At 44.8% G+C, this 14,905-nt stretch overlaps 1 protein-coding gene across 1 annotated transcript; it reads left to right on the top strand.

Moving 5' to 3' along the window:
• The first annotated feature begins 8,441 nt into the window (after window positions 1-8,441).
• CRNN (cornulin) lies at window positions 8,442-13,462 on the top strand. The gene is made up of 3 exons (NM_016190.3): window positions 8,442-8,491; window positions 10,459-10,609; window positions 11,762-13,462. Exons 2-3 carry the CDS (start codon window positions 10,472-10,474, stop codon window positions 13,109-13,111), a joined length of 1,488 nt encoding a protein of 495 aa, NP_057274.1. The 5' UTR covers window positions 8,442-8,491; window positions 10,459-10,471; the 3' UTR covers window positions 13,112-13,462.
• The last annotated feature ends 1,443 nt before the right edge of the window (window positions 13,463-14,905 follow it).

Raw genomic sequence — 14,905 nt, 5'->3', positions numbered from 1 at the left:
GGAAGAAAACCTGAGGAAAGTGGGACAACCAGTCACAATAAGTAATTTAATGGTAGCTGTGATAGTGGTGATCACCATTTCTGTGAGTATTCCTTCAATAAGGGCTGGCCCAGAGAACAATTATACTTATTGGGCATTTTTATCTATCTTGGCTGGCAATAATGCCTGGATGTAATCACTCTATGATGCAGTTACACATGCTTTCTTGTCTCAATATTTACCATAATAAATCTGCTCCTCTAATTGAGGCATACCACCCTCAGAAACCTATTTGTAAACAGGGTTGGACCCAGTTAGAAAAAAATGAACGTACTTGTTTAGGAAGATTGCATTGCAGAACCGGCAGAGGTGCTGCACAACAATTCCTATGGAATCATTATTAATTGGTCCCCTAAGGGGATGTTTAGCTTGAATTGCACCTCTCAGTCTGCGTGCCATAGCCACACTATGTTCAGCTGGTCTGAACAAAATGGTCAGATGGTAGAAACGGTAAGAAGTATGGCAAGAGTTCCTACTATCTGGAAACATGGTGGTATAGTGGCACCTCAACCTCAAATGATATGGCCCGTTGTGGGAACTAAACATAAGAATTTGTGGAAACTATTAATAGCTCTTAATAAGATCAAAATTTAGGAAAAAATAAGCATCTAGAAGAATACTCTACAAACTTGTGTTTGGATTTTGCAAAATTAAAAGAAAAAATATTTAAAGCATCCTAGGCACACTGGACCTTAATGCCAGGAACTGGAGTGCTTGAAGGAGCTGCAGACAGATTAGTAGCTAGTAACCCATTAAAATTGATAAAAACATTTGGAAGTGCTGTGATTTCAATGATGATTGTGCTTTTAATCTGTGTTGTTTGTCTTTGTATAGTCTGCAGATGCAGATCCAGACTCCTGCAAGAAGTAGCTCACCATGACAAAGCTGCCTTTGCTTTTATCACTTTGCAAATTGAAGAAGGGGGACACATTGGGAATAGGACCCCAAAATCTGGCCATACACTGGCCTCAAAACTGGCCATAAACAAAATCTCTGCAGCACTGTGACGTGTTCATGATGTCCATGATGCCCACACTGGAAGGTTGTGGGTTTACCGGAATGAGCGCAAGGAACACCTGGCCCACCCAGTGCGGAAAACTGCTTAAAGGCATTCTTAAACCACAAACAATAGCATAAGTGATCTGTGCCTTAAGGACATGCTCTTGCTGCAGATAACTAGCCAGACCCATCCCTTTATTTCAGCCCATCCCTTTATTTCCCATAAGGAATATTTTTAGTTAATCTATTATCTATAGAAACAATGCTTACCACTGGCTTGCTGTTAGTAAATATGTGGGTAAATCTTTGTTCGAGGCTCTCAGCTCTGAAGGCTGTGAGACCCCTGGTTTCCCACTCCACACCTCTATATTTCTGTATATGTGTCTTTAATTCTCTGGCACTACTGGGTTAGGGTCTCCCCGACCGAGCTGGTCTCGGCAAGCCACCGCCTCAGAGAGTCCCATACAGCTCTACATGCCAATAACTACTTACAGCAAGGCTGACTGCAAGGCTGTGTCTAGCTTTCAGCAACACAAAAGTTGTATGAGTTGAATATTACTTCTTTATGTTCCATGGAGAACTATATTTTCACTTTGGAATGATCTGAAAACAATGGCTCCTAACATCAGCTTTATATTCCTTTGTTCTGAAATAGTGAGGATATATAAACTAATACAAAAGTAACTGAAGAAAGTCTTTAGTAAATCCTTTTGGGGGGAAAAAGGACAGTTAGTGAAATATTGCTTTGTATTTTCTAATTCTATTTTTGGATTTTCCAAGGTGTGTGTTATTATTCATAGATTATGCCTCTTAAATGATAGAATGAGTGATCCATTGGAATATTAATGTCATGCCCATTCCTCTTTTTGGTCTTCAAAAGGATTATTCACTACTACTTTAAATAACAACAGCAATAATGTTTTAGTGTTACTAAAGTAACACTACTTTAAATAAAGTTAATACTACTTTAAATAACAACAGCAATAATGTTTTAGTGTTCATCAGTTTACAATGCACTTTTACACACAGGGTATGTTTTTAATCTCACAATAACCATTTGGTGTAAACAAAGGTTACCACTATTTTATAGATAAAGAAACTCAGGCTCACTATTTTATAGATAAGGAAACTCAGAGCTTCCCAAGTCATGCAGCCAGTTACACTGTGGAGCCGTGTTGGTCTCTGCACTTCTGGAGATGAGAACCATGCCTGTGTGCCTTTCTAATCTTCCCAAAACTGGCTTCATCAAGGTGGTCTGAAGAAAATGAATGCTCATGTTTAACAATAGCCAGTGGCCTCCAGAATGACCTCATAGGCCCTTAGTACTCAGCACCCAACTCTCTTCCTGTTAAATAAGAACTATATTTCCAACCCCCCAAAGTAACTTCCTATTTAATGGCTTTCACCTTTGCAAGCCTTTGGTGTTTGTTTGTTACTCAGTTTGCTGAGAACACCCTGTCATCATCTTTTAATCTTGGATACCACAACTCCCTGGAAGGGATGGGTGCTTTGATTAATGGAGAAAGAACTAGGTAAAAACTGACCAACCCCAGTGGAGACCTGTACCAACAGGTTTGTAGGGTTAAAGCCAGCACAAATCCAGTCCATCCTGATTAGAGCTGCATTCGAGTTTTTTTTTACCAACTTGTTCCTGGGATCCCCTTTTGGCTTTGGATGTGGAGGTATCCACTCTATACTCATGAGCATAGGAATGAAGCCCAAGAGCTCTAAAGGGGTGGAAATATGGGGCCAGGCATGACTTAAGTGACATAGCACCCAGCCCTTATGTTTTCTGGAGAAAGCTGTGCTCTCCTGAGAAATGGGCGATGCTTTCATATCAAGTCATTACACATTTACTGCAAAACAGCCTTGTCCTCAAAAAGGGAGATGATCTAGAAAAGATGATAAAGCAAATAGACAATCAATGGTAATGATGGTAGAGTAAAATAGATGCTGTGAAATGTACCAACAAAAGAATATTTGGAGCAAGTGAATATGTTTGCAGGAGACTTCATCGGAGTGGGTTGATCTGAAAATATATTATGGAGGCAGTGCTATTTGAGCTGTTCTGAATGAATGGGGGGCTTTTGCATGGAGGAGATGGAGAGGAAGCATGCAAGGCTGGAAGAAGGGTTGCAGGAAGTCAAGAAGGCAGCCAGAGTTGGGGTTTTGCAGGGAATAATAGGCCCATACTTTGACCAGAGATTATGATAGGAATAAGGACATAGTGAGAAAATTAGTCTGTTTCCTTTACATTTAAGTTAATAAACTTTTGGCACCACCAGGACTTTGTAGGGTTCTGAGAAGGAGCAGTGGTGAAGTAGGAAAAGGAGCTCACCGCTCCTGCCATGATTTTTCTTCTTTTCCCCTTGGGAAAAAAAAGAGCTTGGAACCTTCCAGTTTGCAGGTTCTAGGAGTTCTGCCTATGGATTGAACACCTAGATATAGGATATGCAGAGTCCCTACTAAATGGCAGATTCCAGCTCTTCTGGCAAAACCAAGAATACTAACAATCATGTTAGCCATGTGCCTGCTGCCTAGATCAGAACTCAGAGAAACTGCAGGGCCAACACAACCTGTCTGTTCAGGGATTAGGCCCAGATAGCCTGAGAGATATTCACTAAGCCACTGGAAATTGTGTCAACAGGTGCGTCTCCAATGTCTGCTTAATCCTCCCTGGCATTTCCAGGGCAAAACTTGAGCATCTGGGCTTCCGGGATTTTATGATCAGGGGCTATGTGGAGCGGGTTTGAGGAAAGAGATTCCAAGTTAGGCAGAGAGAAAGTAAGAAGGCCCAGAACTTCTCACTGTTCTTTTTTCCTCTAAGAACCATTCCCCCACAACCCTGTCTTTCAGTAAGGATACGTGGGCAACATGAACCAGCAAATTCTCTCATAACCCAAGCAACTCTAGAAAACATCTCTCCAGCTTTCAGATTTGGTTTTGTTCTTTTCTGAAGGTAAAGACCAAGATCATGGAATTTGCTCATCTGCTACTTTTTGAGAGAGATGTGAGTGGCCACCCTGTAGCCATTCATTGTCCCATATTACCGTTGTGTGCTCCTGGGTGAAGGTGAAGATGTCTGGTGAGCAGCATTCTTTAAGGGTTGGGTTTTTGGCTGCATTTGTAATGGCAGAAATTTAAAGGCAGCCATGTCAGGGTTAACAGTTACCTGCCACCTGACCCAAGAGGATCCATGTAGCTTACCATGGTGTCTCCCTGTCCCCTTCATCCACCAGCCAATCAGGACCTGACAGCAGACACTGATGAAGCTGCACTGGAAGAGACACTTCATTAGACAGACGGAGTTTAGCCTGCTGAGCAGTCTGCCTCGGCCTCTGTGTGTGTATGTGTGTGTGTGTGTGTGTGTGTGTGTGTGCGCGCGCGCGTGCGCGCGAGTGTGTGTATGCGCGCGCGAGTGTGTGTATGTGTGTGTGTGGTAAGTACATAGCTGTTTGGGGCAGTCAGGAGATAACGATCATGATGTAGGACTGGAGGGAACCCAAAGAAAAGCACCACCTGCATGAAAGCCCAGCTGTTCCCCCTGGCTGAACTTATAGAGGCTTTTGCCAAACATTCTGGATTTTGCCACTGAACAAAGGGGAAGGGGGAAGAAGGAGAACTGTCAGTATGAAGAGAGATTATTTCCTTGGGCTTTGTCCCCGGCATCTCACAGGGCCTCTGGATTTGAGAACTTGCCCTGTTTGTTACTCTCTGTGGTCCCATAGCTAGTTCACGTAGTGTTTAAGCTGGAACATACCATGTTGAGCTGGGTTTAAGTCAAAGGGAATTTTCCAGACTTCAGATAAGAAACTTCAGCCAAGATGCAAAGCAGAGAGGTTAAGATGCTGGGCTCTGAAGTTGAACAGGTTTGGGTTCAAATCCTGCCTTTACCATTTATTTTCTGTCTTTGGAAAATTAAGTTAGTTAATGATAATTTCTTCATCTATGAAATTGGGATAATATCTTTGCTACCATAGGGTTGTTGTGAGGGTTAAATAAAATGATATGTGTAAGTTTTTAGCACAGTGTCTGTACATAGTAGGCACTTAGCAAATAAAATAAAGTAAAATAAAACTAGCAAACCAAAACAAGCACAGGTAGGGGGTGTTGCTGACATAGACCCTGATCTCTCATATTCCTGAGCAGTGATTCTTTACCCCAGACCTTGTGATATTTGACAATATTTTTTAGTTAGCATTCTAAAAATTTCTACTTTTCATTTTAAAATAACTATTTTTGGTGTGTAAAGCCTGTTTGCCCAATTGGGCTAATTTTCTGGAAAGCAATCTTAATTTATAGCCCACTAAGTGTGGCAAATACTGCTTGTATCTTGTAGAAATAAATCAAGTAGAGGTCAGCAATACATTGTTGAGTAAGTGTATAAGAAGGAGTCAAAGTGCAAAACTGGGTTTTCATTGCTGAGTTGCTGATCCAGCACCTGGTCTCACTGCCCTCCAGCATACCCGTAAAATGTAACTGCTAAGTAGACTCACTAATGTCAACTTAAATAATAACCACAGTGAATCTCTCTTAAAAAAAAAGTTACCTATTTGAGAATAGGGCATTGCAATGGGAATACATGTGCCATAGTAAACTACGTGCATATTCAGGAGGTAAAGGAAAACAAAAGTTCTTACAGGAAAAACAATGAAAATTACATAATTTTATTGAAATGTGTATTCTTGGCTACAAAGATCAATAACAATGGTGATGCTAATATGAAGTTGGACAGGCAGCTGCTGGACTGATGTCCTCACAGAAGTGTTTGTTGTGTAAGGCTATTATGGCCTTTGTGTAAGGTTGTGGTTTTTGCAGTCTTTTGTGATAGTTGTGTTATCAGGTGTACAAGCATGAGAACTCTCTCTTCGCAGCCTTCCTTAGCTCTATATTTGTCAAGGATTTTTTTGAAGACAAGTGACTCCATTTTGATTCTGACAACTTGCACACTAACTTATAACATCTCCTCACCAACTTTATAAACTAACAAACTTACACAGTCAATTACAGGCTCAGTCCCAATCTCTGCCAACTCATCTCCCCCAGCCCCACCTGCACACTTCAACCCACCTCCACTGGCCCAGCACACACATACAGTTCTTTAACCTCTACTTCTATGGTGCCCCAGCTCCTCACAGCTCAGTCCTGCCCCAGGCACACATAAAGACCTATTAGGCTTTGGAGGCAGGCAGACCTAAGTTCAAATTCAGGTCTAACTTCCTAGCTATGTGACCTTAGGTAGTTTACTTAAGTTTACTTACTTACTCTCTGTGCCTTGGTTTCTTCATCTATAAATTGGGTTAATAATACCTACCAAATATTCATCTTCTAGATACAGCCTCTGGCTTGTTACTTCCCTAACTTACCCTCAGTTCCCAAACCTTTCTGGAAGTTCTAAGCCCCATCAGAAAAAGCTTCAAACACCACCACAGAAGAAGGTCTAATCGGCTCTCCCTCTTGTTCTCCAACTTCACCCTCTCATACTGGCCTTCTTCTAACTCTGATCAGGCAGAAGCAACCTCAGCCCCCTCTTGCTCCCAAAGGTTGAAGCCCCTACTCTGCTTTTCCCTGGCTGGTATGCCTACCCCACCTTCACCCCAGGACTGGAGCCAACCTGTCCCCATGTAGACAGATCTCTCCAAACACAAAGCCTGCATCCTGCCCTCCTGCAGTCTGGAACTCCCCAGTGCTCTGTGCCCTGAGGGGAAGTGCTGGAGGCTGTGCTGTTGCTACAGGGCTGCCCTCAATACACCAGTCTCTTCAACCAAGGCCCTTACCATGCCTTCCTATCCTGTTGTTCCCTTTCCTGTCTGTTGCATGCTGATCTATAAGTGAGGATGGTAAAGATGGCTTTCCCTTCCAGAGTCACTCAGGAAGCTACACAGTATATATTATCTGCAAAGTGCCACTCAAGAGCACTCTTTGGGACTTGGCTTCTGAGCTCAGAAAACTTCCTCCTCAGGAATGGTTCTTCATGCATTGAGGATAAGTGTGATGTTCATAAGGTGCCAAAACTCAATGAGAGAAGAATAAATGGCAGCATGGTGCAACAGAGAGAACACAGGCCTGGAGTCTGAGGGGCTCTAGTCCAGCACCGTCTCCGCTTCACAGAGTGGCTACTTCTCTGAGGATTTCTCAGTGTTCTCATTTATGAATTGGGCTTAGCCATACCACCTCAGAGGATTGCTAGGGAGATCAAATAAGATGAGATGGTAATGAAAATGGAATAAAATCAAATGAAATGAAATGGCAATACCATTATCATTAACCTCTTGGGGACTTACCCCTGGGATGGCCAGGCTATAGACTTCATGAGAGTTGAAACTGCTGCCATCGTATTCAACACTGTATTCCTAGGGCCTTAGCCCTCTGCCTGAAATGGAGCAAGCTTTCCATAAATATTTGCTGATTAGCCACCAGTTGAGTTTCCTGTCCTTGCAATGAGGAGTTACCACATGATCATGGTAAGCCTTTTTTCTCATCAGCTACAAAATGCTACCTACCCATAGCATGGGGTGGGGAAGGTATTAACTTTTTTTGTTTTAATTAAAAATGAGACCAACTTTAAAGAGATGAAACTGGCTTTCTTGTGTCTCATACACTAGGTGTGAAAGGCACTTACAAAACAAGAATTCAAAAAATGTTCTAAGTAATAACAGTTCTAAGTAACATCACCACAAAAACATGTGTGCCCTCTCAGAGTGGCTACTTTGTAAAAGTTAACCTCAATAGATATATTCTTGAACATTTATATTAAAAAAGGAAACAGTGGCCAGGCACGGTGGCTCACACCTATAATCCCAGCACTTTGGGAGGCAGAGGCAGGTGAATCATGAGGTCAGGAGTTCAAGATCAGCCTGTTCAACATGGTGAAACCCTGTCTCTACTAAAAATACAAAAATTAACTGGGCATGGTGGCAGGCACCTGTAATCCCAGCTACTCAGGAGTCTGAGGCAGGGAATTGCTTGAACCCAGGAGGCGGAGGTTGCAGTGAGCCAAGATCGCACCACTGCACTCCAGCCTGGGCGACAGAGCAGGACTCCATCTCAAAAAAAAAAAAAAAAAAAAAAGGAAAGAGTCCCATAACTTTGTAGGCTCATAGAGACAAAGAATGTTCACCAGGACCCCAGCCTGTACCAAGCACTGCTGAGCCCATCACAATGGAAAGAAGCTTCCCTGTCAAGAGGACTCAGCTACAGAAGGTACCAAATGTGGTAGGAGGGGCCTGTTAATTAGACCAAGGCAGTCACACATCAGCAGGTAAAACAGAGACAAGAGGAGGTGTGGCTGGGCTGGGCTGGATCTTGGATGAATCAAGCCTTCCCATAGGGCAGGATATCCTGTCTAAAACAAGAGCCTTGGTTAAAACCCCTATAAAAGGTTCTCATCACACTGACCTGGTACTCCTCACACCACTTAACAGCCACTTGTTTCATCCCACCTGGGCATTAGGTAAGTCCCCTCATAAGAAACCTCTTTCTCATTCTCAGTGTCTTGGTGATCTGAGCTCATAAAACTGGGGCAGTCAGGTATGGACTATGCATCCTTCAGAGCTAGCTGTGAGCACTGGGCAAACCAACGCTACCGTTGGGAAACATGCTCTCCTGAAGCAATCAGGCTTTCTCCTCCTCCCTGAGGCTGGCCTGGGAGCAGCTCCTCTCACTGGGAAACTGTGTGGGCAGCGGCTATGGGGCCACCCATGTGCCTTCCTGGATCAGCAAAGGTTTCTTTTTTCTAAGGCTCTGGAAGCTTCTTTGCAGTGCTGAGAGTCTATGGGATCAGAATCAGTTTACTTATGCCAACCTAGACAATAAGATCAAACTGTGTCATGGATGAAGGGGTTTACATGATTCCCCTCTCCTACACCAGGGTGATATTTAGGCAAAATATGTGTAGATTTTTCTAAGGAATCTAAAATGTAACTAAAAGGTCATCTTATTATTTTATTATCTAAAGGTCAGTGGTTAAAGTCTGCTACATGGTTTTAAAAAAAAAGAAAGATATTTTTCATCTATGTTGAGGAAAACATCCCCAGTTTTTTACCTTGATGAAAAGTTTGCCTGAAATTGTTGGTTACCAGGTCCTAGAAAGGGTTTCTCCTGAACAGCCCACCTTTTGCTATGACTTACTGAGTCCTCATGGCCACACTAATCTGCTTTTTCTAGAACTCAAGTCTCCTTCCTTCCTTTTTTCTCTTTCTTCTCCTACCTATATCTGCCTCGTCCCATCCTCTCTCTGGCTTTCCAGCTGCTACAGGCTCCATCTCCCCTTGCATTTGAGACTTGTCATCTTTGATACCATCTCCTCCTTTGGGTCTCTCCAAGGCTTCTGCTTAATGAATCTTCAAGTCTCTTTTCCTTTTGCTCATGCAACCAAACCCAGGCCTCACCTCAACCTACCTCTAGATTTCTGGCTAATGAAAAAGAAAAGCTTTCCCTTTGATTAGGAACCAACTCATAGGTCACCAGAAATCTGGGCCTGATGGAGCCACGTGCCTGTTGGGCAAGCTGACTTCTCTGATAAGTCTCAGGGCTGTGGACAGAGGCGACATGCAGAGAAACTTGGACCCTCAGAACTGGAAGGCCTCCCACCCAAAGAAGGTTCCCCCCTCCTGAGCATTCCCAGCAGGTGGTAGCCCAGTTTCTTCCCACTTTCCCAAAAAAAACAAGAAGGGAGGGCTGTGTCCCTGGAATTTCTGCTTGGCTCCCATCCAAGACAGGGGTTGACTCACAGATGTATTTACTTCCTTTTGGTGTTCCCGATGGGACCCTAACACCCTTGTGATAAATAAATAAATCCTGTCCACAGGGTACATTCTAGAAAGCCCATTGCATTTGGGTTAAGGAAAAATGGATCCTAGGATTTCTTGGCTCCTTAAAAATTGTGTGGCCTAACTTCTCTGAGCCTGTTTCCTCACCTATAAAAAAAAGTGGAAATAATAAGGATTAGAAGAGATGATGTACAGGAAAGTGATTATATAGGTGTACAAAAATTATATGTGTGTATATGTATATAATAGCATAATAATTATATTTAATAAGGAGCACTTAATATAAGCCAGGCATCTGCCAAGTGCTTTTTATGAATTATGTCTTTAAATCTTCACAATAATCCCACAGAGTACTAATATCACCTTCAATTACAATGAGTAGTAAACTGAGGCATGGAGAGGCAAAGCAACTTGTCCCAGCTCACACCATACTTAAGTGGTGGGGCCAGCATTTAATCCTGACTCAGGAACCTGCCTCCATCCTGTGTGCTCCTCCTTCCCATACATAAGATGCATTATGTAGGAAAGGACAAAGGAAAACTAAAAACAGAGCTGAACGTGCAAGGAAAGACCTAGCAGCAGACGTGCTATAAAGGAAATAGCTGAGGTTGATTATGGAGCCTCCAAGGGAACTTTTCATCTTTTCCAGGTTGACTTCAAAGATGCCTCAGTTACTGCAAAACATTAATGGGATCATCGAGGCCTTCAGGCGCTATGCAAGGACGGAGGGCAACTGCACAGCGCTCACCCGAGGGGAGCTGAAAAGACTCTTGGAGCAAGAGTTTGCCGATGTGATTGTGGTACGGTGTGCTGAGCCGGGTGGAGAGGGGACATAGCAGGAGAGTGAAACCTGGTTTGCCTGCAGAGGCCTTGCCTGGGGAATTTGAGGAGGCAGCAGCTAAACCCAGGCCTGCCGGGACAGATGGCAGCTGTGCAGGCAGAAAAAAAGGTGAAAGAACCAGAGATGGTCATGGGAGTTGGCAAGTCCTGGCTCTTTAGATTAAAACCTTGGTTTTAATTAATTCTAACTTAAAGACAAGGTAAAAGGGCTCTAAAAGGACAACTCAGACAGGAGCAGAGCCTTGGAATATTTCAAAATGAAAATAATTGCTGCTTTCTGCCGCCTCTTAAATTTGATACAGTAAATATTTCCCACGTCTATCTGAAATGTAATCATCCATTCATAGACATTCATTAGAAGCATAGCTCTGGGCTTGCACGAAGCAGTTACTCAAAAATATTAGCAGACTGATCACATCAGAAATGAAATTTTGAAGAGCAGGTTGTTAATAGCTAGGGGGAGACTTTGGAGCCTCACCCCACCCCACCTGGCAAACCAGAACCAAGGCCTTGATGCACTTTCCTGTCTTTGGTTTGCATCTAAAGCAACCAGGATGATGATGGCCTTAGGGACAAGGACATATGGGCACAGAAGGATGCTGCATCCACATGCTCAGGGCAGCGCTGCAGGGGCCCACTGCTTCCCTCCCTCTTTATCATGGGGAAACATCTGGGCCTCAATGAGGAGCGCACAGAATTCCCATGGGGCTGTGTTCCCAACCTGCTGCTCTTTGTGCTGGGCCTGCTGAAGAGACTAAGGCCTCAGTGCCAGGGGCAAGGTGCCAAGGGCAGCCCAGACAGTCAACTTGAGAGCCCAAACAGTTGCATTGTGAATTCAATAATTTATTAACTCTTCAATAAATCTTTATCTAATTTTCCTGTAGCCCAGAAATTGTGCCAAATAGAGGCTACCAAACAAAAAATGCTCTCTACACTTGAGGGAGAGAGACGGGACTAAAAAAAAATAAAGGCAATTAAGTCTTGCTGCTGCTCTAGCCGTATGTGTGTGTAGTGTGGGGTCTGAGGCAGGGGAAGCTGGCAGCAGATTGGAAGGGACCTGCCCATGTCCTCCTCAGGGGAGGGATGCTGACTCCACCTCATCTTCTCCTCAGAAACCCCACGATCCAGCAACTGTGGATGAGGTCCTGCGTCTGCTGGATGAAGACCACACAGGGACTGTGGAATTCAAGGAATTCCTGGTCTTAGTGTTTAAAGTTGCCCAGGCCTGTTTCAAGACACTGAGCGAGAGTGCTGAGGGAGCCTGCGGCTCTCAAGAGTCTGGAAGCCTCCACTCTGGGGCCTCGCAGGAGCTGGGCGAAGGACAGAGAAGTGGCACTGAAGTGGGAAGGGCGGGGAAAGGGCAGCATTATGAGGGGAGCAGCCACAGACAGAGCCAGCAGGGTTCCAGAGGGCAGAACAGGCCTGGGGTTCAGACCCAGGGTCAGGCCACTGGCTCTGCGTGGGTCAGCAGCTATGACAGGCAAGCTGAGTCCCAGAGCCAGGAAAGAATAAGCCCGCAGATACAACTCTCTGGGCAGACAGAGCAGACCCAGAAAGCTGGAGAAGGCAAGAGGAATCAGACAACAGAGATGAGGCCAGAGAGACAGCCACAGACCAGGGAACAGGACAGAGCCCACCAGACAGGTGAGACTGTGACTGGATCTGGAACTCAGACCCAGGCAGGTGCCACCCAGACTGTGGAGCAGGACAGCAGCCACCAGACAGGAAGAACCAGCAAGCAGACACAGGAGGCCACCAATGACCAGAACAGAGGGACTGAGACCCACGGTCAAGGCAGGAGCCAGACCAGCCAGGCTGTGACAGGAGGACATGCTCAGATACAGGCAGGGACACACACCCAGACACCCACCCAGACCGTGGAGCAGGACAGCAGCCACCAGACAGGAAGCACCAGCACCCAGACACAGGAGTCCACCAATGGCCAGAACAGAGGGACTGAGATCCACGGTCAAGGCAGGAGCCAGACCAGCCAGGCTGTGACAGGAGGACACACTCAGATACAGGCAGGGTCACACACCGAGACTGTGGAGCAGGACAGAAGCCAAACTGTAAGCCACGGAGGGGCTAGAGAACAGGGACAGACCCAGACGCAGCCAGGCAGTGGTCAAAGATGGATGCAAGTGAGCAACCCTGAGGCAGGAGAGACAGTACCGGGAGGACAGGCCCAGACTGGGGCAAGCACTGAGTCAGGAAGGCAGGAGTGGAGCAGCACTCACCCAAGGCGCTGTGTGACAGAAGGGCAGGGAGACAGACAGCCCACAGTGGTTGGTGAGGAATGGGTTGATGACCACTCAAGGGAGACAGTGATCCTCAGGCTGGACCAGGGCAACTTGCATACCAGTGTTTCCTCAGCACAGGGCCAGGATGCAGCCCAGTCAGAAGAGAAGCGAGGCATCACAGCTAGAGAGCTGTATTCCTACTTGAGAAGCACCAAGCCATGACTTCCCCGACTCCAATGTCCAGTACTGGAAGAAGACAGCTGGAGAGAGTTTGGCTTGTCCTGCATGGCCAATCCAGTGGGTGCATCCCTGGACATCAGCTCTTCATTATGCAGCTTCCCTTTTAGGTCTTTCTCAATGAGATAATTTCTGCAAGGAGCTTTCTATCCTGAACTCTTCTTTCTTACCTGCTTTGCGGTGCAGACCCTCTCAGGAGCAGGAAGACTCAGAGCAAGTCACCCCTTTGTACTGAATTGTCCTCATCTTGTGGGGGGTTTCAGGACTATTTTTATCTCTGACATCTCTCTATTGCCCCATCTACCCTAATGCATCAATAAAACCTTAAGCCACTGGCCTCTGTGTCTCATTCAACCACCTTCTATTGATATTACAGGCCAAAGGCTGTAGAGTTATGAGATGATGAACTGGACATAGTCCCTACCTTTGAAGAGCAACTAGTTGAGAAAATATTATATGAGATTCCTGCTATATATCATACTTAATACTTGGCAGAGATGGACCAGCAAAGGTTTCATACAAAAGGCGCTTTCTTTATGATGGCCCTGAAAAGACAATTAGTATTTAGATAGATAGGCAAAATTCCTCTTGGTCTTTCACTACCTCTAATTCTATAGCGTTAAACCGCTATTCACCTGTAAGGTCACACAGGAAAGCTGATTTAAGATTACCAAGAAATGGAAGAAGGCCCCCAGTGGCTGTGTAGGGAAAGAGCGAGAAAGCTTGTGTTACCAGGTACTGAGCCAGGGGCCAGAATTTTGTGCTTCCCTTCCTACCTCCCCCTCAGTGTCAGCTCTGACCTCTCATGATGTCTCACCCACCAGATATAAACCATGTTATGGGGTAGAGACTATCAATTCTGGTTTATTTTAAGAGTGACCAGAAGAACAGTTTTAAAATAAAGATTTATAGGGACGGGCGTGGTGGCTCACACCTGTAATCCCTGCATTTTGGGAGGCCTAGGTGGGCGGATCACCTGAGGCCAGGAGTTCAAGACCAGCCTGGCCAACAAGGTGAAACCCCACCTCCACTAAAAATATAAAAATTAGCTGGGCATGGTGGCACATGCCTGTAATCCCAGTTACTCAGGAGGCTGAGGCAGGAGAATTGCTTGAACCCAGGAGGCAGAGGTTGTAGTGAGCCGAGATTGTGCCACTGCACTCCAGCCTGGGCAACAGAGCAAGACTCCATCTCAAAAAAAAAAAAATGTATAAACCTAACCCTACAGATGCTGGTTCTAAGGTTTGGAGCCAATTAATATTGTTTAGAAACTTCTTGGGGGTCTTGTGCTTTTGTCAGTACAGAAGACTAGATAATCTGAAAGATTTCCCAAGACAAAATAACTAGATCCTGCATAAAGCATTTTTTTCACTGTGTTACTGGTTTACAGGAAGTAAGGGAAATCGCTAAGGAAAAAACAAAATGTGGAATAAACAACAACCAAACAAAAACAACACGTAGGCTAAATAACAACCTCCAAAGACGTCCGGGACTTAATCTCAGAAACCTGTGAATATGTCACTTTATATGGCAAGAAAGGGACTTCACAGATGTGATTAAGTTAGGAATCTTGAGATGGTGGGGGGTTATTCTGGATTATCTGGGTGAGTCCAATATAATCACAAGGTTCCTTACAAGAGTGAGACAAGAGGATCAAAGTCAGTAAAAGGAAGTGTGGTGATGAAACCAGCGGCTGTAGCCATGTGCTATGAGCCAAAGAATGTGTGGAGAATAGAATCTGGAAATGCAAGACACTTTCCTCTAGAGCCTTCAGAAGTA

Source organism: Homo sapiens, chromosome 1 (assembly GCF_000001405.40).
Source record: "Homo sapiens chromosome 1, GRCh38.p14 Primary Assembly".
Classification (NCBI taxonomy): domain Eukaryota; kingdom Metazoa; phylum Chordata; class Mammalia; order Primates; family Hominidae; genus Homo; species Homo sapiens.
Note: the sequence above shows the minus strand (reverse complement) of the source record. Positions and strands in the feature narration are given on the sequence as shown.

Bases quoted from the DNA above. Each gene is read 5' to 3' on its own strand.
- CRNN (NM_016190.3), top strand. From the start codon at position 10,472: ATGCCTCAGTTACTGCAAAACATTAATGGGATCATCGAGGCCTTCAGG. The intron at 10,610-11,761 runs GTACGGTGTGCT...TCTTCTCCTCAG, and splicing joins AGTTTGCCGATGTGATTGTG to AAACCCCACGATCCAGCAAC.